This window comes from Homo sapiens, chromosome X (assembly GCF_000001405.40).
Source record: "Homo sapiens chromosome X, GRCh38.p14 Primary Assembly".
Classification (NCBI taxonomy): Eukaryota; Metazoa; Chordata; class Mammalia; order Primates; family Hominidae; genus Homo; species Homo sapiens.
Window position 1 is genome coordinate 52,493,567 of NC_000023.11, and position 23,557 is coordinate 52,517,123.

Below are 23,557 nucleotides of genomic sequence, written 5' to 3' on the forward strand. Positions count from 1 at the left end.
ATGATCTAAAAACAAAGCAAAACAAAAGATAACGTTATAGATTATTAGGCTGTTTTTCATTTTCAAGGCTAAAGTGACTTTCTCTTGAGGCTTTCTAAATCTTACCTGGTGGTAGAACTCTCCTTTGTTAATCTTTTGACTACTGGTACAAAAATACAGCATTCAAATATGTGAAGTAAAAGATAATCCAGGGGCTAGCTGACTATGGCTTGAGATCTAAATACAGCCCATGGCTTGTTTTGCATAGCCATTGAGATAAGGATTTTTTTCCATTTAAAAGTATTATTGCTAAAAAACACAACACTACGCCACAGAAACTACATGACCCACAAAGACTGAAATAATTACGATCAGATCTGTTAAAGCAAAATTTGGTGATGCCGTATTAATCAAATACCTGTTATTCTGCTTTGCATTATTGCATACATCTTTTCATCCATTAATTAATTTATTTACACACGGATTGAAAATATGGATGTTACTCTATCCCCTCAAGAAAGCGTCCAGCTTTATGATACCATGATTTCAGTCTGGGAAACTTGTCCCAGGGATCAGGTCAATACACAAACATACATTTGAGGTAGGAGACTGGCAGGACTTGTTTTCTGGTCATAACTGAGCCTAGAGCCTACAGTCAGAATCTATGGCTATTTCTGAAACATATACTGTCTGAATGACCTACAGGTATATTCAGGGAAATCAGTTACCAGTCCAGAGATTTAAATGTGAAGTAACACAACCTAAAAAGAAAAGAGTAAACAGGTGTGAATGTATTTATTCTACAGAAGAATTTATTCAATTACGTTTATTGGAAGCATGGCAGAAAACCCAGAACCAGAGAACAAAGTGATTAATAAAAGCATTTATAAAACTGGCCAAGGTGGGAGGATCACTTGAGCCCAGGAAATTGAGACCAGCATGGGCAACACAGTGAGACCACTATCTAAAAAATAAATAAATAATAAATAAACCAATTACCCAGGTGTGGTGTCTGCACCTGTAGTAGCAGGGACTGGGGAGGCTACATCGGGAGGATTGTTTGAGCCCAGGAGATGGAGGCTTCAGTGAGGTATGGTCATGCCACTGCCCTCCAGCCTGAGCAACAGAGTGACACTCTGTCTGGAAAAAAAAATAAATAAAAACGGCTTTATAAATAAAGATATGAAAATAATTTATTTCTTCCACAAAAGGTCTTCCTGAGACACATCCTCCAGTAAGGGACTGTCTGTTCCCAACGTTTCTGAATGCATGAGATTGGACAAAGAGAGACGAAAGCTCTCAAGTCCCTTTTTCTACTACAAACGCCATGGGGATGCGGGTCTGGGAACAGCGGAAAACCCTACCCTGCCCTGAAAAGTCCCTGGCTCAATGTGCATGTCCCTTTCTATGAAAGTTCCTTGCTGCCTATGCGCCTTGCTCTCTAACTTCTGTCCCTCCACAACTGTGAAAGGAGACGTCGTGACTTCCTTCTTTCGTGCTGACTATGACTTAGCCAGTAGGTCTGCAGATCAGTCCTCCCAGAAAGTGAAGTGTGAGTGAGTGTGAGGGGGAGCGTGGGGGGCTTCCTGTGGGTTGTGCCACTTGGTCCATGGCCTCTGAGGTCGTCATCTTTCTACTAAAACTCAGCGATACTGCCATGGCCTTGCTGTTGTGGGGTCCCGGGCATGGGACGAAGGAGGGCCATAGCGGGGAGGAGGGTCAGGTGAGCATGGAGTGAGTTTTTTTTTTTTTTTCACGGAGTCTTGCTCTGTCACCAGGCTGGAGTGCAGTGGCGCAATCTCGGCTCACTGTAACCTCCGCCTCCCGGGTTCAAGTGATTCTCCTGCCTCAGCCTCCCGAGTAGCTGGGAGTACAGGCGCGCACAACCACACCCAGCTAATTTTTGTATTTTTCAGTAGAGACGGGTTTTAACCATGTTGGCGAGGATGGTCTCGATCTCTTGGCCACATGATCCACCCGCCTCCGCCCCCCAAAGTGCTGGGATTACAGGCGTGAGCCACCGCGCCCGGTCATGGAGTGAGTTTTGAAGGCTGACTTTATTTGAGGTATTTGAGTCCTGGTGGGGGGGAACCCACACACAGAGAGGAGGGATTCCAAAGTCGTTAATGGGGACCTGGGAAGGAGCATAGGACAGGGCAAGGCGGGATAAGGAGGGGCACCACAGCCCTTAAGGCACGAGGGAACCTCACTGCGCATGCTCCTTTGGTGCCCACCTCAGTGCGCATGTTCACTGGGCGTCTTCCCATCGGCCCCTTCGCCAGTGTGGGGAACGCGGCGGAGCTGTGAGCCGGCGACTCGGGTCCCTGAGGTCTGGATTCTTTCTCCGCTACTGAGACACGGCGGGTAGGTCCACAGGCAGATCCAACTGGGAGTTGAAGTGTGAGTGAGAGTGAAGAGGAACCAGCAGGCTTCCGGAGGGTTGTGTGGTCAGTGACTCAGAGTGAGAAGGCCCTCGAAGTCGTCGTCCCTCTCATGCGGTGCCACGCCCATGGACCTTCTTGTCTCGTCACGGCCATAACTAGGGAGGAAGGAGGGCCGAGGAGTGGAGGGGCTCAGGCGAAGCTGGGGTGCTGTTGGGGGTATCCGAGTCCCAGAAGCACCTGGAACCCCGACAGAAGATTCTGGACTCCCCAGACGGGACCAGGAGAGGGACGGCATGAGCGGTATGGAAGGGTCCTGGAGACGGGGCATGCTGCGGGCTAGTGACCGCAGCCCCGAGGTCTGTAGAGTGCCTGGCATAGGGGTCCTGTGAGGAGTGCCCACTGCTGTGTAGCAAATTCTCAACTCCACTGTGGAGATTCCAATGGGCGGGGCCCTGAGTTCCTAAAAATGTGACTTTGGGGTGGGGGGGAAGTGGGCCTAGCAAATCATTATGTGACAAAATTGGTGGTCACTGCAGTTTCAGTTCTGTAGCTGTAATTTCCTACTTGTCTCCCTGATGGAGTGTCCAGTTGTGAAACCAACCTCATGGGAAATGCCCTGTGTTTTTTGCCAGGAGCCTTAAGACATCGCTCAGCTAGCTAGACCTACTTAAGTGGCTTTGCAAGCATTCGATTCAAAAGGTGCATACACTTATACTTGCCCGGGGACTTTCAGAGTATTTCTAAATTAAAAAAAAAAAAAATGTCCAAGTTAACATTTGACCATGAAAGCGGTCAAATCTAGTTGTCCTGTCAAGTGCATTTTCCCAATCGCAGTATTCTGCTTGCAGAGTGAAGTATGTGTTGATGAGGACGATCAACATATAGGCCTATGCCAAGAAGTTCACAACCTCCTGAGCTCATTGTGCCTCTGCTTGTGAATGTCTTAACATTCGATGTTTTCTCTTAGCAGAAAGTTATTTTTCTGATAGTGTTGATGGACTAGTATGGATACACTGATAATGGTCTCCCATGCTGATAAAAAATGATCATGGCATCCCATGAAGGAAAGATTAGTCCAGAGGGTTATATTTGGGTTTTGTGTGGGTGGATGATCGTGTGTGCCCAGATTTTGTCCATAACTTCCTCCTCATGCTTATTCAGAACAGATTACACACATTCATCCCAACATTGATTAAAACGGCTTCCAAAGTCCCTGAGGATATCTGTCTTTGAGTAACCTCTCTGAGGGAAGAATAGTGTTATGAAGATTAGGTATACGGGGTAGTGTTGGAGAAATGTCTCTAGACATACTTATAATAAGACATACCTGTGTATTCTGTATATTTATATTATTGACATGTATTAATAACAAAACTTTTTATCTAGACACACACAAACACAGAACCACACAGCCAGTCCCAGGAGCCCAGTAATGGAGAGCCCCAAAAAGAAGAACCAGCAGCTGAAAGTCGGGATCCTACACCTGGGCAGCAGACAGAAGAAGATCAGGATACAGCTGAGATCCCAGGTGCTGGGAAGGGAAAGTATGTCTATGGGGCGGGAGAAGGTCTATGTGTGCATTGTGGCCTATGCCATGAGCAGTAACAGGAGCAAAGAGAACATTAGGAAAAGATACCAAACATTTGCTCAAAGTTGGCTGGAAAAGGGAGAGTATAGTTTGCAGCTTCATGCTGTCCCTGGATATAATGAATCTTCTCTTGTTCTTCGAGATGGATTTTGTATGCTTGAAAATACAGTCCTTACTAAATCACTTGAAACCATTTAATTTGGTGTATAGAAATGTACATTTTTTTATTATGTGGCAGAGGCTCATCTGTCACGCAGTGTGGATTGTTGTGGCATGATCTTGGCTCACTGCCACCTCCAGCTCTTGGGTTCAAGCGACCTCGGCCTCCCAAAGTGCTGAGATTACAGGCATGAACCACTACGCCTGGCTCAGGCTTTATTTCGTAACGCGAAGGAAGAGAATATTATCATTTCCTTATTTATATTTCATGTTGGAATGCTTAAATCGATAACCTTTGTATTTTGAAGTGCGCGACATGGAAGGTGATCTGCAAGAGCTGCATCAGTCAAACACCGGGGATAAATCTGGATTTGGGTTCCGGCGTCAAGGTGAAGATAATACCTAAAGAGGAACACTGTAAAATGCCAGAAGCAGGTATGTTATCCAGCAAGATGCAAAGTTATGTGCTTTCTCATTTACACAGTATTATACTTTTGATAATAGAGGGATAACATTAGTGCTACTTTAAAAACACAGTGCAAATGCAAATGTTCTTTGAAACGTCGTTCAGACCCAAATGCCAGATTGCAAGACTTAAACACTATCAGATACAGAAACAAATTGGGTCAAAGCCATATTGAATCATCAAACGTGACAGCATTTTCTTAGTTTGGTGTATAACCAACAGCTAACAATTTTCAGATTCTTTTCTAATTTCTGCTTTTAACAAACACATAATGCATTTGTAATACCAGTTTGTGTGAAGTATGCTGAGCCCTGAAGCAGATTCTAGTACCAGCTCTACCATAATTTGTGAGAGTCTGGATGAATCGTATAAATTCCACAGGCATCCTTGCTCTTAGTGAAAAGAGTGGATGCACATCAGATAGATTAAAATCCATTTCGTTGCTAATTTCCACATGCTCTGGTTCTGTTGGATAGAAGACCAAGATATTCTGATCTTCATGATTTGTTTATCATAACAATCAGCTTCAGTCCAATTATAGTGTCTGAGTTGAGATTTCATGGTTCCTAGGAAAATGAGCGGGCACTCTGCTTGGTGTTTGTTTTCCTGTGTGGAGCCCTGTATGAGTGTTCTTGTATTTTGCCAAATTCTGAGTTCTCTGTCTCTTAAAGAATAATTGCATTTTAAAGCCTTCCCGCAGTGAAGCCTTGAATGACTGAATGATAAAATGGCAGGAGATCATCAGGTTTCTGTGGCCAGTGAAGTAGAGAGAATGCATGTAGGTCAGTGATGCCCAAGGTGGGTGTAAGATGCTTCTGCTAAGCATGCTCCCTGCCCTCCCGTCAGTCTTCATGAACTACTTCGTGTAATTAGATTGAAGACTCATATAGTAGAGTCACCTCTAACCATACCATAGGTTACATATTACAGGTTTCTGCCTTGAGGCATTAGATGATAGGGTTTGAAGTTCAACAACAGCACTGTGCTAGTTCCTGAGTAGTTGACACAAGTATGTTTTACACATATTTTCCAAATTGGTGACTGTTAATTACAATACCTCTTGAAGTTAAAGGAAGCACCCCATGTTTAAGGGAGAAATTACCTAAGTGTTTTTACTGTACCCTGCTGAACCATTCCATTATACTATTTACATTAAAAGATAGTTCTCAGACGATTTCCAGGAGCCCACTGAACAAGCCTCAGTTGTATTCTTAGGGAGATCATAGCTTTAAATGCACGTCTTATTAAAATAAATAGCACGTTACATGTTAAAGGAAAAGAATACTATGAAATAACAATAAAAGAGCCAGAGAATAAACTTAAAGGAAAAAGAAAGTGGTAGTGAATAAAAGACAGGTACGAATCATTAGTATAAGGAAAAGTAGTTCAAATGTCATAAATTGAAAAGATTGGTGTTTTGAAAATTAGCTACGAATATTCAGTAATTTACACAATCTTGAAGAAACGGAAAAAGCACAACATGGAATATGAACAAGACAGAGTGATTTAATACAGGGCTTTATTGAAAGTGAATACAGTCTTGAACGCTAAGATTTTCAGAGCATGGATGAAATGGTTGGTAAGCTAGGAAGGCATGCATTATTTATTTCTGTAATACCTGATTAAGCATCACAAAGCCTGTGGAAGAAACTGTGAAATTTTCCAGTTGTCCCTCAGAAACATTTACTTTTAGAAACAAATTTTGGCTTTTTCAGCTGTCCTACTCTTGTTTTCCATTCCCGTATCCCTCCATGTGTTCATGTGTGACACAGTTCATAATGCTATCACATATTGATGACAAAACTGATAGTGATAGCTTAAGAGTAATGCGACCATATACTTAATTATACAAATGGGAATACTTTCAAGTGTAAAAAGAGGCATGATTCATGTTGACATCACGGTAGGAGAAAACTGGGTACAAACGGTTGCTGTACCTTAAAAACCACAGAAGGGTAAACGAGCCCAAATAAATATTTTTGCCCTTCTGCGCAATAGAGTAAAAACAAATGCAATGCTGGCCTTTCTATTCACTTTACTTATTCAGTTCCTAAGGTGACAGTAACCGTTTTCTTCCAAGATAGTATTCAGACCATTTCCAGGAGCCCGTTTGGCATGCAGACCACAGATTCAAGCCAGAATATTAAAAGAGTGTTTGCCAAAAATTATACATTTTTCGTAAATTCCTTTTTTGTTTCTTAGGATTTTTGTGTGGTGCTGGTATTTTGAGTAAAACTATGCACAATGTTTGCTTTCTACTTTAAACCCCTTTTTAGTAGGTTCACTTCATTTAATGTGTTCGGACCTTGGACTGTCTTGCTTTCCTTGTAGCACTAGAAAGCAGGGTGTGTTTGAAAAACATCTTTAATGCATACACTTGGACGACTGTTGTCAAAGTCTCTTCAGAGGTCTACATGAATATAAGCAAAAGGGTGACTCTTAGGCTTCTGGTTTTGTCCATTGTAGAAAACTAAAACTTTGGTGTCTTTTCCATATCCTTAATGTCATTTAAACACAGTTCTGCTAGTAATGTTCCCACCTGTTATGCTTCTGTTATAGGTGAAGAGCAACCACAAGTTTAAATGAAGACAAGCTGAAACAACGCAAGCTGGTTTTATATTAGATATTTGACTTAAACTATCTCAATAAAGTTTTGCAGCTTTCACCAAAGAAGTCTTGCTCATCTTTGGTTCACTTCCTTCCCAGGTATTTGATAATATTGGAAATTGTTTCTGGCTGCGGTTGTCCACGCCTGTAATCCCAGCACTTTGGGATGCTGAGGCAGGAGGATTGCTTGAGCTCAGTAGTTTGAGACCAGATGGGGCAACAAAGCAAGACTCTCTCTCTACAAAAATAAAAGAGTGAATGCATGAATGTATGCAAGTTTGTATGTAGCTATAGCCCCAGCTACTCTAGAGCCGAAGGGTGGAGGATGCCTCCAGCCCAGGAGGTCCAGGATGAGGTTAATTTTTTTTTGAGATAGAGACTCTATTTTTTTTTTTTTTTTTAAAATTCAGTATCATTTTTGAAATTTTGTGTTCTGATTGAGCTGGTATGCACAGGTGTGATATTGTGTAATACATATTTGGTCCTAGACCCTGCTTCCTGGCATACAACTACTACAATTTTTAAAATCTCCACAAAGTGGTGTCTTTTTATATGCTAGTGAGTTGACTCATGGCTGGCAGCACCTAGGTAGCTCTAGTTTGGGGAATAGGAGGGTTGGGGCTTTCAGCTGCCCCTCCCCCCCCCCCAGCATTCGGGAAGAGGCAGAAGGTTAATTTGATCCCCAGTGGCAGGACAACAGTTTAATCAGTCACGCCTACAGAATGAAAACCTCCATCAAAACCAAAAGGACAGGATTCAGACGGCTTCTGGCTAGCTGAACATATGGAGGGCAGCATGCCCCTAGTGGGCACAGAAGCTCCCTACCCCTTTCCCCATACCTTGCGCTATGTCTCTCCTCATCTGCTTCCTTTCTTAGGGTATCCCATTTGCCACAAAACATGTGAGAAGTCCCTAGGCTATAGAGCTGGATGAAAGAATTAGGGCCTAGGTAGGAGTAAGCGGCAAGGAACCAGGGCAACTTGCTGAAGCAAGATGACGGGTCCTACCTACACCGTCTCTTTAGAGGCTATGTCATGAAGTAGCCATGGGTTTCCATCTTGCCTCTCACACAGTGCTCTTGATATGGTGGTCAAGATACTTACACCCTTTGGGACTGTTTTTCCATTTCTAAAGTTGAATTTACAATATGTACACTAAAAATACTTAGTATGAAAAATAAAGGAAATAACATCAAGGAGGCTTTACATTGCAGATAAATTTGGCCTGCTACTTAGATTTCCTTTTTTCCTTTAGATTTCAAACTTTTTCATTTCATTTTTCCTTACAACTACATTTCTGGTGTGTGATAACCTGCTTTTGAATTTCAAGTAGGAATGTCAAGTTCACTTTTAAAATACATTTGAATTCAGAAAATTATTTGATTTAAATATGTTAATTTAATAGCAGTGTAGCCGGTGTCACCCACGGCATAGATTCTGAAGTTGATTTGTAAATAACCGAGGTGTTACAAGGCCAACCATAAGTCAATAGTATGTGCTGAAAACTTATTTGCTGTGTGTGATGCCATGAAGACTAAATCAATATTCTGTCTATGCTACACCACGCAACTCAATACAGTAGTGTGTCAATTACTCAAGCGGTCCGTAAGCAGCCCTGTGTTGTCCTAAAAGGGCCATGAGGATCACCACTAAAGTCGTTAGTTTGCCTTTTCACATATTCTTAAATTTGGCCAATACGGAGACAATGAGCCCAAACAGATCCAAGTGGTTGATTGCTTGTAGAGAAAGCAAAAGCAAGATCAGCATTGTGTAAGCACCGTATCCCTATTTCCATAGTGTGACAGTGAATCGGAGGTACTCAGTGATGGACAGCACAGATAGTGGGTCTTTCTGCTGGTGAGGAGCCCACACCTGTGCCCAAAGGCAGTGAGCAATTTTATACTCCACAACTGTACCCTATGATGAAGAAAGGCCTGTGCTTACCTCAAACTAGGGAGACGGATGAAGAATGGCCTTGTGTCAGCCTCCAGGCAGATAGGGAGCTGGTGCAAAAATACCTGTGGCAGCTCCCACCGCCCTGCCTATCTTTCCTTGTTCCAAGGGCAGTCAAGATATTGTGCCCAGACTCAGGTTAGCTTGTAGTCTAGCTTTGCCTACTTCCCCTATTAGTGGTGACCTGCAGGAGCTCCAGAGCAACATACAGAGCCATTACCCTAGAGTGTCCGGCACAAAACCAAAGACCATATGTAAGGTGCCTAGAAACATATCATCTCCAATAATGTCTCCTAAACACAGGAGATGCTTTTCTGTTAGGATCATTACAAAAGGTTAATTCATCAATTCAGTAGACATGCATGAGTGGCCTGCCATGTTACAAGAAATACCTGGGATGCTGGAAATTGGAAGAACAACCAACAACACATGGTACTTGCTGTGGGGGCTGTCACACTGTGGTGGGGCAGAGAGGCCACTAAACAGAAGAGCAGCTGAAGTGCAAAGGGGGAAACACAGGGAAGGGACCCAGGGGAATAAAAACCAATCAATGTAGTGGCCAAGAGGCAGGAGGAAAATAACACTTTCACGAAAAGACAATCTTTCTCCATTGCCTTTGCACCTTTTCTGAAAATCAATATATCATGTCTGTGAGTCTATTGCTGGACTCCATTCTGATTTGTTGATTTTTCCAAATTACCACGTTCTCTTGATTACTATAGAATTAACATCACTCTTACTATTAGGTAGTGTGAGTTCCCCAAAGTTATAGTTCAGCATTGTTTCAGCTGTTCTGGTTCATTTTTGTTGCCAGGTAATTTTGGAAAATGACTCCAGTGAAGTGAGTTGTATATGTTGAGGCAGTTTTGCTTTGAAGGGCAGCAGCTAAATGTATTCGTAGCTATAGAAGGACATGGGGGAAGAAAGTGAGTTTCCCCCTTAGCTTGGGGAGTGATCCAATATAGGGGGAGCCATTGATGGTTCAGGAGAGAAGAACGATCATTGCAGCAGGAAAGCCCCTGGGAAAGTGGGAGTTATGGGATCCTGAGCTGAGGTGAGGGGCTTGCTTCCGTTAGGAGCATTGTATGCACAAGGGTGGCAGAGAATGCCAGGCCCAACAGGGGTAGCCTGGGTTTGGGATGCTCTGAGAATTCCCAGCAGATAGCTTCTGTCTTCTGAAGGAATCATTAGGGTAGGTCATTCAAATGGAGGAGGGTTCCTAGGAATTTGTGAGAGTATTGTAGTAGTGGAAGTAGGATGAGTGCGAAAGGGAGAAGCGATTCTCTCGTGGTCATAGACTTAAGGTAAAATAATTCCAAAGTTTTGAAGTTTTCTCATCACTGCTCAGTTGCTCAGATACAGGTATCATTACATGCTCATTATATTAGTTGGAGGAGCAGGAGTTCTAGCTCATAAAATAGATATGATAATGCTTGCCTTCTGAGCGGCACTAAAAGTGTTTCTATTGGTTTGTTAGGGCTGCCATCAAAAACTACCATGAACTGGGTGACTTAAACAACAAAAATGTATTTTCTCACAATTCTGGAGGCTACACATCTGAGATCAAGGTGTCAGCAGAGTTGGTTTCTTCTAAGGCCTCCCTCCTTGCCTTGCAGGCAGCTGTTTTCTCCGTGTCTGCCTTAGCCCTCCCTCTGTACAAGTCTGTGTCCTCATTTCCTCTTCTTGTAAGGGCACCAGGCACATTGCCTTAGACTCTACTCTAATGACCCCATTTCACTTAATTACCTTTTTAAAGACCCCATCTATCTCACATACAGTTACAGTCTGAGGCTCTAGGGGTTAGGACTTCACCATATGAATCTCGTGCAGACAGAAGTCAGTCCGTAACAGTATGACTGTTGGTTTTATATTAAAACTGATTATTTTTGACACCAAGTCTCACTGGGTGACCCTGACTGGAGTGCACTGACTTTGCCATGGCTCACTACTGTCTGGAACTCCTTGCTCCAGGGATCCTGCCATGTCATCTTCCTAGTAGCTGGCAGTACAGGCGTGTGACACCACACTGGACTAAATTTTGTTAACCTTTTTGTAGACAGGGGCGGGGGGTTGCGCCATGTTCTCCAGGCTGGTCTGGAACTCCTGTGCTCATGCGATCCTCCTGCCTCAGCCTCCCAAAGTGCTGGGATTATAAGCATGAGCCACTGAGCCCAGCCTTCTTTTACTACTATTTTTACTACTATTATCACTATCATTTATTTCATTATTGCAAGTAACCTGCAAGGTAGGATGTAGTCACTGAAGCTCAGAAATCTCAGCTCTTGCTGAACCTTACCAGGAATGGAAGTACTAGTCAAACAGACAAAACTCATGTGTTTTTGAGTGGAATGTAACTGAGAAAGTCAAATTTGTTACATTTCTTATCATGAATTCATGTGTTATTAAATTATATGTACAGAAAATTATTAATTAAATTATCAGTACAGAAAATAGTAATGAAGAATCTTCAAGTCTCATAAAACCTACAGACATAATGGAAATCATACTAGATTTGGAGTCCACTGAAATATACCTGATGGTCAGGCAACTGGAGGAAACCTCTGCCAAATGTCTCTGCCTCCTGGAATCCTGAGGCAGGTGATCAGTAGGGGAATCCCGGGGCCATAACAAACACTCGCACACTCATTATTCACACCTGCCTGAACACTCGCACATTCACCATTCACACCTGCCAGAACATTCTGCATTCATCATTCATACCTGTCCAAACATTCCCACATTCACTATTCACACCTGCCCAAACATTTCACATTCACGATTCACACCTGCCCAAATATTCCACAATCACCATGCACATCTGCCTAAACATTCCATATTCACCATGCGCACCTGCTGAAAATTCTCACATTCGCCATTCCCACCTGCCTAAACTTTGCCACATTCATGATTCACACTGCAACCATTTTTGGTAGAACTAAAAAATTACTTCTAATTCCCAAACCTTATAATAGGGCATATCATTAGCAATACCTGGTAAACTGTGGCGCACAACCCTCTGCAAGGGATCCAGGGAGGAGCAGTTATCAACATTCCAGCAGCAGCAGCAGCAGCAACAAGTAGCAATACAGGGGAGAGCAGAGGAGATGGGAGTGGCTGTTGTTCAAATTCTTGTGGAGACTATACCTGTCAAGAGCTTTCTATGGTGTTTATTGTGAAAGAAGCTTTCTGGACAGTGAGGTTCACATGGAGATGTTTCCAAAGGTGCCCTTGAAGCAGTTTACTGCACAGGAGGAGGTTAAACATTTTTTATTGTGGCAAAATACACATAGTTTATTTTGGGTTTCCTGAAAAATTCATATGTTGATGTCCTAACCCCAGGTACCGCAGAATGTGACCTTATTTGGAAATAGGGTTATTGAAAATATAATTAATTTCAGATGAGGTCATAATGAGGTTGGGTGGGCCCCTAATCTAATATGACTGTTGTTATTAGAAGAGGGGGAAATTTGTACACAGACGTTGGTATGGCTTGGGTATGGTTGGTTTGTCTCCAGGAAAACTCATGTTGAAATTTGACCCCCTTGCCCTGGTGCGGTGGCTCATGCCTGTAATCCCAGCACTTTGGGAGGCCAAGGCAGGTGGGCAGATCACCTGAGGTCAGGAGTTCAAAACCAGTTTGGCCAACATGGTGAAACTCTGTATCTAATAAAAAAAAAAATACAAAAATTAGCCGGAAGTGGTGGCATGCACCTGTTGTCCCAGCTACTCAGGAGGCTGCGGCAGGAGAATCACTTGAACCTGGGAAGCACAGTTTGCAGTGAGCTGAGATCGCACCACTGTACTGTAGACTGGAAAACAGAGCAAGACTCTGTCTCAAAAAAAGAAAAAGGAAAAAAAAGAAATTTGACCCCCCACTTCCCGTGGCAGTGTTGGGAGGTGGGGCCTGTTAGGATGAGTTTGGGTTATGGATGTGGATCCCTTATGAATAACTTGGTGCTGATCTCTTGGTGAAATGGTAAGTGAGTTCTCAGTTTCAGAATGCTGGAGTAGCTCTTGAAGGAATGGATTCATTCCCTTTAAAGTGGGTTGTTGTAAAGCCACGACACCCCTCAGGTTTTCCCCTCTTCACAAGTGTCCACTTCCACTTTGGCCTTCTCCACCATGTTGTGATGTGGATCGAAATCCCTCACCGAAAGCCAGAGGGCTATGCATTCCCTTGAATTTCTCAGTTTGTAGAACTGTGAGCTAAATAAATATCTTTTCCTTATGAATTACCTGGTTCTAGGTATTCCTTTATAGCAACACAAAATGGACTACGACGTGCACACAGGGAAAAAACCACGTGAGCATGAAGGAAGAGATAGGGGTGATGCATCTACTGGTCAATGAATGTCAAGGATTGCCAGCAAGCCAACAGAAACTATGAGAAAGGCATGGAACAGATTCTTCCATTCAGGCCTCAGAAGGAGTCAACCCTGCCCACACCTTGATTTCAGACTCTTAGCCTCCGGAACTGTGATACAATAAATGTCTGTTGTTGAAGCCAGTGAGTTTGTGGTGATTTGTTACTGCAGCCCTAGAGAACTCTCAAAGATTGTGGTACCAGGAAATGAAGTGCGGCTCTAACAAATACCTAACAGCATGAAAGTAGCTTTGGAATTGGGTCGTGAAGAGATGCTGGAAGAGTTTCAAAGTAAGTGACAGAAAAAGCCTACACTTCCTTGAAGGGGCAATTGGTAGACATATGGACATTAAGATAAATTCTGGCAAGTGCTCAGAAAAAAACAGGAGAGCTATACAGAAAATTTCTGTCATCTTAGAGAATACATCCAACATCAAGAACAGAATGTTGCTAGAAAAATGAATGTTAAAGGTGCTTCCGGTGAGGTCTCAGACAGGAATGGGGAACATGTTATTGGAAACATGGATTCACATTCCTTATGAGAAAATCGCAGAGAATTTAGCTAAACTGCATACTCTTAGATGCAAAGTAGAATTTGCAAGTGATGAACGTGGGTATTTAGCTAAGATTTCTAAGCCAAGTATTGAAGATGTTGCCATGTTTCTCCCTGCTGCTGATAGCAAAATCCAAGAGAGGAGAAATAAATCAACAACAGAACTGCTAAGAAAAAGAAATCAGCCTGTGATGATTTGGAAGATTCTCAGCCTATTCAGATAGCATGCCATGAAAACATGGCCAAGGATGTAGCTGGACAATTGATTGCTTAAGAGGTGAGGTATGTGACTCATGGCTCCATCAACCATCTCAGCAGAATGCAGGAATAGAGATGCAGTTACCCAGTGAAGATCCATTCAGGACTCAGAGTCTGTTTGGCCAGTGTCTCAAAGACACAGATCATGACCTGATCCCTCAGGAACAGATGGTGTTCCAGCTTTGTGGGAATGACTTTCAAGGTGTGGAGCACTTGGGGTGCTTTTGAAGGGCCTCAAGCTTCACTTCTCTGCTTGGAATGGAAAGCCCATCACCCATGGCAGTCAGGGAGGTACCTTTACTTATTAGAGCAGATTTGTTGAATTTTTCTATCTGGACAATGAAAAGTTCTGGGAGCACTTCTAGTTTCCTGTAGCCTCTTAGTAATTGATGTCCCTAATTCCGTATGTCCTCAGGGACCATTCCTTTGATTCTGGGATGGTACCAGCTTTTATGCTTTTATGTCTAATCTGTAAAAGCCTAGTTGCTAATCTACATCAAAATAAGACCTTGTTCATATCACACATTCCAACAGGTTTCTTTTGTGATTCCTGAATGTGAGCCACTATTAAAAAAAAAAAAACCTAAAAAACTTGGCCATGGAAATTAGACCCTGTTATTGTACTTTGTGAAGAATTTTCTCCTTCAGGATTAATTACCCATGGGTTCATCAGCCCCTTTGTAAATAAAGGGACAAAAACTATGTGGCATCTATGAATGTGGCAAGATGAGGAAGTATAGGGAGACCACAGCACAGCAGCTCTTCTCTTGTTTCAAACAGAGTCTATGAGGTGAAGAACCCACATCCCTCACCCATCCATCAATATTCTCACCCTACTCCTGAGCGTTCCCAATTTAGGTGGGAGTTTCTAAATATACTTGTCCACAAGTGTTGGTGGGGATGTTGTAACGTGAGGGTATCCATCATTGGTCATGGTAAAACAAAGATGAATGGAGGGGAGAGTTTTGTGATCTGTTTTCACATGCACTGCTTTTGGGTGTATTGATGCAAAATCATGTGCTCTCAGCAATCCCACAGCAGCTATCTCAGAAGATTGCTCCTTATGCCATCACAGCTGCTGTTTCAGAGCCAGAAGCTCCTTGTGGTTTGGTGTCTTCTGCTTAGATTTGTGGCCATGACCCTCCTCTGCTCACCCAATTCCTGGTAGTATCTGCTGGGTTGCACGGTTTCTTCCAGTGCTCCCTGAGAACCAGTTGTGTAATGACATTTCAAATTCCGCCCTCACAACATCAGTTCCTCTACAATGGCCGTGTACGTACCTTCTTGGAGCCCCCATGTGTGTCCTCTTCAGTGGGGCTGCGAAGAAATCGCTTAAATATAGATCTCATTCTGATGCTCGTCAGTCTGCTTAGAAAGCTGATCATCTCATCTTAGGTCATGTGTACTTTATTCCTTTTGTGTACTTTGAAATCTGATGCTATTTCATTCATGATGTGGACCCTTGCAGTTAGGTACTTTTAAATATCTTTCTGAATTTAACTCTGGCAACAACTTGAAGAAGTCATCTTGTGATCCTCATTTTATGGGTGAGGAAACTGGCACTCGTAGAGGTAGAGTAGCTTTATTAACTCCACACAAGCTTTTGATGCATTTCACATCTCAACGTAGAAGTCTTCCTCTAAGGTTCATGCTGTACACTAACATGCACTGAACATACTGATGAAAATAAGACTGTTACCCTCCTACCAAATGCGAAATTAATGTCATGGCCAGATAAAGACACTTGTAAAGAAACTGCACTTCAAGGTTGTCTATCTCAGTATTCCGATGGAAAAACATGGAATTTAGCCAGTTCTTGGAGAGACCAGGAAGTCCAGAGTGTCCTACAAGAATGGGGATTCCTTGGAAGTGAGGTTCACCTTGACACAAGAAAGATGAATCATATACGGTCAAAGGCAATTGCCCAGGGCCTCAAGAACAGCATGAGAAAGAAGAGCTGTGTCTGGTGGGATTGCGGGGGTCCTCCTTCCCACCTGAAAATCTACTGCTGCCTGCCGACCCTCTCAAGATTGCGACCTGTCTGGGTTCCAGCACCTAAAACAGGCAAAACTGGGAGGATGCAACCTTCTCTATTCTGCACCAGATATGTCTTAGAGAGAACCCATATTATCTGAATGACCAAGGAGAACTATGAGAAAAAATGCAAACTCTGTGTCAGGCCATTCGGTGTTTGGCTGGTGCCCTGGGGAGAACGTGCATCCCAAGAATAATGAAGGATGTCAAGCCTGCAGGCAATGTCTTTCAGACTTGCCTCTTAGACCTAGAGTATGACTGCCGATCCGGGTTCATGGCACAGACGTGCCTTTAAAGTGACTGCAAATACGGACAGAGGGACTTCCCTTCCTTCCTTCCTTCCTTCCTTCCTTCCTCCCCCTCTCCATCCTTCTCTCTCTCTCTCCCCTTTTTCTTTCTTCATTTTCTTCCCTTCTCTTTCTCTTTTTCTCTTTTCCTGTCTGCCTTCCTTCCTTTCTTCCTTCCTTTTTTTTTTTGACAGAGTTTCACTCTTTATTTTCCAGACTGGAGTGCAATGGCACGATCTCCGATCACTGCAAGCCCCGCCTCCTGGGTTCAAGCGATTCTCCTGCCTCGGACTCCCCAGTAGCTGAGATTACATGCATATACCACCATATCTGGCTAATTTTTGTATTTTTAGTAGAGATGGGGTTTCACCATGTTGGCCAGGCTGCTCTCATACTCCTGACCTCAGGTGATCCACCCGCATAACACATAGCAAACAAGTTTTCAGCACACATTGCTGACATTCAGTTGGCTTTATAACACCTCGGTTATTTACAAATCAACTTCAGAATCTATGCCGTGGGTGACACCGGCTACACTGCTATTAAATTAACATATTTAAATCAAATAATTTTCTGAATTCAAATGTATTTTAAAAGTGAACTTGACATTCCTACTTGAAATTCAAAAGCAGGTTATCACACACCAGAAATGTAGTTGTAAGGAAAAATGAAATGAAAAAGTTTGAAATCTAAAGGAAAAAAGGAAATCTAAGTAGCAGGCCAAATTTATCTGCAATGTAAAGCCTCCTTGATGTTATTTCCTTTATTTTTCATACTAAGTATTTTTAGTGTACATATTGTAAATTCAACTTTAGAAATGGAAAAACAGTCCCAAAGGGTGTAAGTATCTTGACCACCATATCAAGAGCACTGTGTGAGAGGCAAGATGGAAACCCATGGCTACTTCATGACATAGCCTCTAAAGAGACGGTGTAGGTAGGACCCGTCATCTTGCTTCAGCAAGTTGCCCTGGTTCCTTGCCGCTTACTCCTACCTAGGCCCTAATTCTTTCATCCAGCTCTATAGCCTAGGGACTTCTCACATGTTTTGTGGCAAATGGGATACCCTAAGAAAGGAAGCAGATGAGGAGAGACATAGCGCAAGGTATGGGGAAAGGGGTAGGGAGCTTCTGTGCCCACTAGGGGCATGCTGCCCTCCATATGTTCAGCTAGCCAGAAGCCGTCTGAATCCTGTCCTTTTGGTTTTGATGGAGGTTTTCATTCTGTAGGCGTGACTGATTAAACTGTTGTCCTGCCACTGGGGATCAAATTAACCTTCTGCCTCTTCCCGAATGCTGGGGGGGGGGGAGGGGCAGCTGAAAGCCCCAACCCTCCTATTCCCCAAACTAGAGCTACCTAGGTGCTGCCAGCCATGAGTCAACTCACTAGCATATAAAAAGACACCACTTTGTGGAGATTTTAAAAATTGTAGTAGTTGTATGCCAGGAAGCAGGGTCTAGGACCAAATATGTATTACACAATATCACACCTGTGCATACCAGCTCAATCAGAACACAAAATTTCAAAAATGATACTGAATTTTAAAAAAAAAAAAAAAAATAGAGTCTCTATCTCAAAAAAAAATTAACCTCATCCTGGACCTCCTGGGCTGGAGGCATCCTCCACCCTTCGGCTCTAGAGTAGCTGGGGCTATAGCTACATACAAACTTGCATACATTCATGCATTCACTCTTTTATTTTTGTAGAGAGAGAGTCTTGCTTTGTTGCCCCATCTGGTCTCAAACTACTGAGCTCAAGCAATCCTCCTGCCTCAGCATCCCAAAGTGCTGGGATTACAGGCGTGGACAACCGCAGCCAGAAACAATTTCCAATATTATCAAATACCTGGGAAGGAAGTGAACCAAAGATGAGCAAGACTTCTTTGGTGAAAGCTGCAAAACTTTATTGAGATAGTTTAAGTCAAATATCTAATATAAAACCAGCTTGCGTTGTTTCAGCTTGTCTTCATTTAAACTTGTGGTTGCTCTTCACCTATAACAGAAGCATAACAGGTGGGAACATTACTAGCAGAACTGTGTTTAAATGACATTAAGGATATGGAAAAGACACCAAAGTTTTAGTTTTCTACAATGGACAAAACCAGAAGCCTAAGAGTCACCCTTTTGCTTACATTCATGTAGACCTCTGAAGAGACTTTGACAACAGTCGTCCAAGTGTATGCATTAAAGATGTTTTTCAAACACACCCTGCTTTCTAGTGCTACAAGGAAAGCAAGACAGTCCAAGGTCCGAACACATTAAATGAAGTGAACCTACTAAAAAGGGGTTTAAAGTAGAAAGCAAACATTGTGCATAGTTTTACTCAAAATACCAGCACCACACAAAAATCCTAAGAAACAAAAAAGGAATTTACGAAAAATGTATAATTTTTGGCAAACACTCTTTTAATATTCTGGCTTGAATCTGTGGTCTGCATGCCAAACGGGCTCCTGGAAATGGTCTGAATACTATCTTGGAAGAAAACGGTTACTGTCACCTTAGGAACTGAATAAGTAAAGTGAATAGAAAGGCCAGCATTGCATTTGTTTTTACTCTATTGCGCAGAAGGGCAAAAATATTTATTTGGGCTCGTTTACCCTTCTGTGGTTTTTAAGGTACAGCAACCGTTTGTACCCAGTTTTCTCCTACCGTGATGTCAACATGAATCATGCCTCTTTTTACACTTGAAAGTATTCCCATTTGTATAATTAAGTATATGGTCGCATTACTCTTAAGCTATCACTATCAGTTTTGTCATCAATATGTGATAGCATTATGAACTGTGTCACACATGAACACATGGAGGGATACGGGAATGGAAAACAAGAGTAGGACAGCTGAAAAAGCCAAAATTTGTTTCTAAAAGTAAATGTTTCTGAGGGACAACTGGAAAATTTCACAGTTTCTTCCACAGGCTTTGTGATGCTTAATCAGGTATTACAGAAATAAATAATGCATGCCTTCCTAGCTTACCAACCATTTCATCCATGCTCTGAAAATCTTAGCGTTCAAGACTGTATTCACTTTCAATAAAGCCCTGTATTAAATCACTCTGTCTTGTTCATATTCCATGTTGTGCTTTTTCCGTTTCTTCAAGATTGTGTAAATTACTGAATATTCGTAGCTAATTTTCAAAACACCAATCTTTTCAATTTATGACATTTGAACTACTTTTCCTTATACTAATGATTCGTACCTGTCTTTTATTCACTACCACTTTCTTTTTCCTTTAAGTTTATTCTCTGGCTCTTTTATTGTTATTTCATAGTATTCTTTTCCTTTAACATGTAACGTGCTATTTATTTTAATAAGACGTGCATTTAAAGCTATGATCTCCCTAAGAATACAACTGAGGCTTGTTCAGTGGGCTCCTGGAAATCGTCTGAGAACTATCTTTTAATGTAAATAGTATAATGGAATGGTTCAGCAGGGTACAGTAAAAACACTTAGGTAATTTCTCCCTTAAACATGGGGTGCTTCCTTTAACTTCAGGAGGTATTGTAATTAACAGTCACCAATTTGGAAAATATGTGTAAAACATACTTGTGTCAACTACTCAGGAACTAGCACAGTGCTGTTGTTGAACTTCAAACCCTATCATCTAATGCCTCAAGGCAGAAACCTGTAATATGTAACCTATGGTATGGTTAGAGGTGACTCTACTATATGAGTCTTCAATCTAATTACACGAAGTAGTTCATGAAGACTGACGGGAGGGCAGGGAGCATGCTTAGCAGAAGCATCTTACACCCACCTTGGGCATCACTGACCTACATGCATTCTCTCTACTTCACTGGCCACAGAAACCTGATGATCTCCTGCCATTTTATCATTCAGTCATTCAAGGCTTCACTGCGGGAAGGCTTTAAAATGCAATTATTCTTTAAGAGACAGAGAACTCAGAATTTGGCAAAATACAAGAACACTCATACAGGGCTCCACACAGGAAAACAAACACCAAGCAGAGTGCCCGCTCATTTTCCTAGGAACCATGAAATCTCAACTCAGACACTATAATTGGACTGAAGCTGATTGTTATGATAAACAAATCATGAAGATCAGAATATCTTGGTCTTCTATCCAACAGAACCAGAGCATGTGGAAATTAGCAACGAAATGGATTTTAATCTATCTGATGTGCATCCACTCTTTTCACTAAGAGCAAGGATGCCTGTGGAATTTATACGATTCATCCAGACTCTCACAAATTATGGTAGAGCTGGTACTAGAATCTGCTTCAGGGCTCAGCATACTTCACACAAACTGGTATTACAAATGCATTATGTGTTTGTTAAAAGCAGAAATTAGAAAAGAATCTGAAAATTGTTAGCTGTTGGTTATACACCAAACTAAGAAAATGCTGTCACGTTTGATGATTCAATATGGCTTTGACCCAATTTGTTTCTGTATCTGATAGTGTTTAAGTCTTGCAATCTGGCATTTGGGTCTGAACGACGTTTCAAAGAACATTTGCATTTGCACTGTGTTTTTAAAGTAGCACTAATGTTATCCCTCTATTATCAAAAGTATAATACTGTGTAAATGAGAAAGCACATAACTTTGCATCTTGCTGGATAACATACCTGCTTCTGGCATTTTACAGTGTTCCTCTTTAGGTATTATCTTCACCTTGACGCCGGAACCCAAATCCAGATTTATCCCCGGTGTTTGACTGATGCAGCTCTTGCAGATCACCTTCCATGTCGCGCACTTCAAAATACAAAGGTTATCGATTTAAGCATTCCAACATGAAATATAAATAAGGAAATGATAATATTCTCTTCCTTCGCGTTACGAAATAAAGCCTGAGCCAGGCGTAGTGGTTCATGCCTGTAATCTCAGCACTTTGGGAGGCCGAGGTCGCTTGAACCCAAGAGCTGGAGGTGGCAGTGAGCCAAGATCATGCCACAACAATCCACACTGCGTGACAGATGAGCCTCTGCCACATAATAAAAAAATGTACATTTCTATACACCAAATTAAATGGTTTCAAGTGATTTAGTAAGGACTGTATTTTCAAGCATACAAAATCCATCTCGAAGAACAAGAGAAGATTCATTATATCCAGGGACAGCATGAAGCTGCAAACTATACTCTCCCTTTTCCAGCCAACTTTGAGCAAATGTTTGGTATCTTTTCCTAATGTTCTCTTTGCTCCTGTTACTGCTCATGGCATAGGCCACAATGCACACATAGACCTTCTCCCGCCCCATAGACATACTTTCCCTTCCCAGCACCTGGGATCTCAGCTGTATCCTGATCTTCTTCTGTCTGCTGCCCAGGTGTAGGATCCCGACTTTCAGCTGCTGGTTCTTCTTTTTGGGGCTCTCCATTACTGGGCTCCTGGGACTGGCTGTGTGGTTCTGTGTTTGTGTGTGTCTAGATAAAAAGTTTTGTTATTAATACATGTCAATAATATAAATATACAGAATACACAGGTATGTCTTATTATAAGTATGTCTAGAGACATTTCTCCAACACTACCCCGTATACCTAATCTTCATAACACTATTCTTCCCTCAGAGAGGTTACTCAAAGACAGATATCCTCAGGGACTTTGGAAGCCGTTTTAATCAATGTTGGGATGAATGTGTGTAATCTGTTCTGAATAAGCATGAGGAGGAAGTTATGGACAAAATCTGGGCACACACGATCATCCACCCACACAAAACCCAAATATAACCCTCTGGACTAATCTTTCCTTCATGGGATGCCATGATCATTTTTTATCAGCATGGGAGACCATTATCAGTGTATCCATACTAGTCCATCAACACTATCAGAAAAATAACTTTCTGCTAAGAGAAAACATCGAATGTTAAGACATTCACAAGCAGAGGCACAATGAGCTCAGGAGGTTGTGAACTTCTTGGCATAGGCCTATATGTTGATCGTCCTCATCAACACATACTTCACTCTGCAAGCAGAATACTGCGATTGGGAAAATGCACTTGACAGGACAACTAGATTTGACCGCTTTCATGGTCAAATGTTAACTTGGACATTTTTTTTTTTTTTAATTTAGAAATACTCTGAAAGTCCCCGGGCAAGTATAAGTGTATGCACCTTTTGAATCGAATGCTTGCAAAGCCACTTAAGTAGGTCTAGCTAGCTGAGCGATGTCTTAAGGCTCCTGGCAAAAAACACAGGGCATTTCCCATGAGGTTGGTTTCACAACTGGACACTCCATCAGGGAGACAAGTAGGAAATTACAGCTACAGAACTGAAACTGCAGTGACCACCAATTTTGTCACATAATGATTTGCTAGGCCCACTTCCCCCCCACCCCAAAGTCACATTTTTAGGAACTCAGGGCCCCGCCCATTGGAATCTCCACAGTGGAGTTGAGAATTTGCTACACAGCAGTGGGCACTCCTCACAGGACCCCTATGCCAGGCACTCTACAGACCTCGGGGCTGCGGTCACTAGCCCGCAGCATGCCCCGTCTCCAGGACCCTTCCATACCGCTCATGCCGTCCCTCTCCTGGTCCCGTCTGGGGAGTCCAGAATCTTCTGTCGGGGTTCCAGGTGCTTCTGGGACTCGGATACCCCCAACAGCACCCCAGCTTCGCCTGAGCCCCTCCACTCCTCGGCCCTCCTTCCTCCCTAGTTATGGCCGTGACGAGACAAGAAGGTCCATGGGCGTGGCACCGCATGAGAGGGACGACGACTTCGAGGGCCTTCTCACTCTGAGTCACTGACCACACAACCCTCCGGAAGCCTGCTGGTTCCTCTTCACTCTCACTCACACTTCAACTCCCAGTTGGATCTGCCTGTGGACCTACCCGCCGTGTCTCAGTAGCGGAGAAAGAATCCAGACCTCAGGGACCCGAGTCGCCGGCTCACAGCTCCGCCGCGTTCCCCACACTGGCGAAGGGGCCGATGGGAAGACGCCCAGTGAACATGCGCACTGAGGTGGGCACCAAAGG

At 42.8% G+C, this 23,557-nt stretch overlaps 2 protein-coding genes and 1 pseudogene across 8 annotated transcripts; 2 read left to right on the forward strand and 1 right to left on the reverse strand.

Annotated features, from left to right (window-relative positions):
• The first annotated feature begins 2,241 nt into the window (after positions 1–2,241).
• Positions 2,242–7,246, forward strand: XAGE1A (X antigen family member 1A). 4 transcript variants are annotated; one of them, NM_001097596.3, is made up of 4 exons: positions 2,242–2,343; positions 3,750–3,907; positions 4,419–4,545; positions 7,136–7,246. In NM_001097596.3, the coding sequence occupies exons 2-3, from the start codon at positions 3,796–3,798 to the stop codon at positions 4,514–4,516; spliced, it is 210 nt and encodes a 69-aa protein (NP_001091065.1). In that variant the 5' UTR covers positions 2,242–2,343; positions 3,750–3,795; the 3' UTR covers positions 4,517–4,545; positions 7,136–7,246. The 4 variants fall into 4 exon arrangements, 3 of the variants coding, with proteins under 3 accessions (NP_001091065.1, NP_001091063.2, XP_016885237.1); NM_001097594.3 differs by having other exon boundaries at positions 3,750–3,891; NR_033254.1 differs by having other exon boundaries at positions 2,311–2,663; positions 3,750–3,891.
• Positions 16,337–16,616, forward strand: RBM22P7 (RNA binding motif protein 22 pseudogene 7; annotated as a pseudogene).
• XAGE1B (X antigen family member 1B) lies at positions 18,511–23,502 on the reverse strand. Of its 4 annotated transcripts, none has more exons than NR_033257.1 (4): positions 23,094–23,446; positions 21,866–22,007; positions 21,212–21,338; positions 18,511–18,621 (listed from the first exon to the last, which is right to left on the reverse strand). NR_033257.1 is itself a non-coding variant. In NM_001097605.2 (4 exons), the coding sequence occupies exons 2-3, from the start codon at positions 21,959–21,961 to the stop codon at positions 21,241–21,243; spliced, it is 210 nt and encodes a 69-aa protein (NP_001091074.1). In that variant the 5' UTR covers positions 21,962–22,007; positions 23,414–23,502; the 3' UTR covers positions 18,511–18,621; positions 21,212–21,240. The 4 variants fall into 4 exon arrangements, 3 of the variants coding, with proteins under 3 accessions (NP_001091074.1, NP_001091073.2, XP_016885235.1); NM_001097605.2 differs by having other exon boundaries at positions 21,850–22,007; positions 23,414–23,502; NM_001097604.3 differs by having other exon boundaries at positions 23,414–23,497.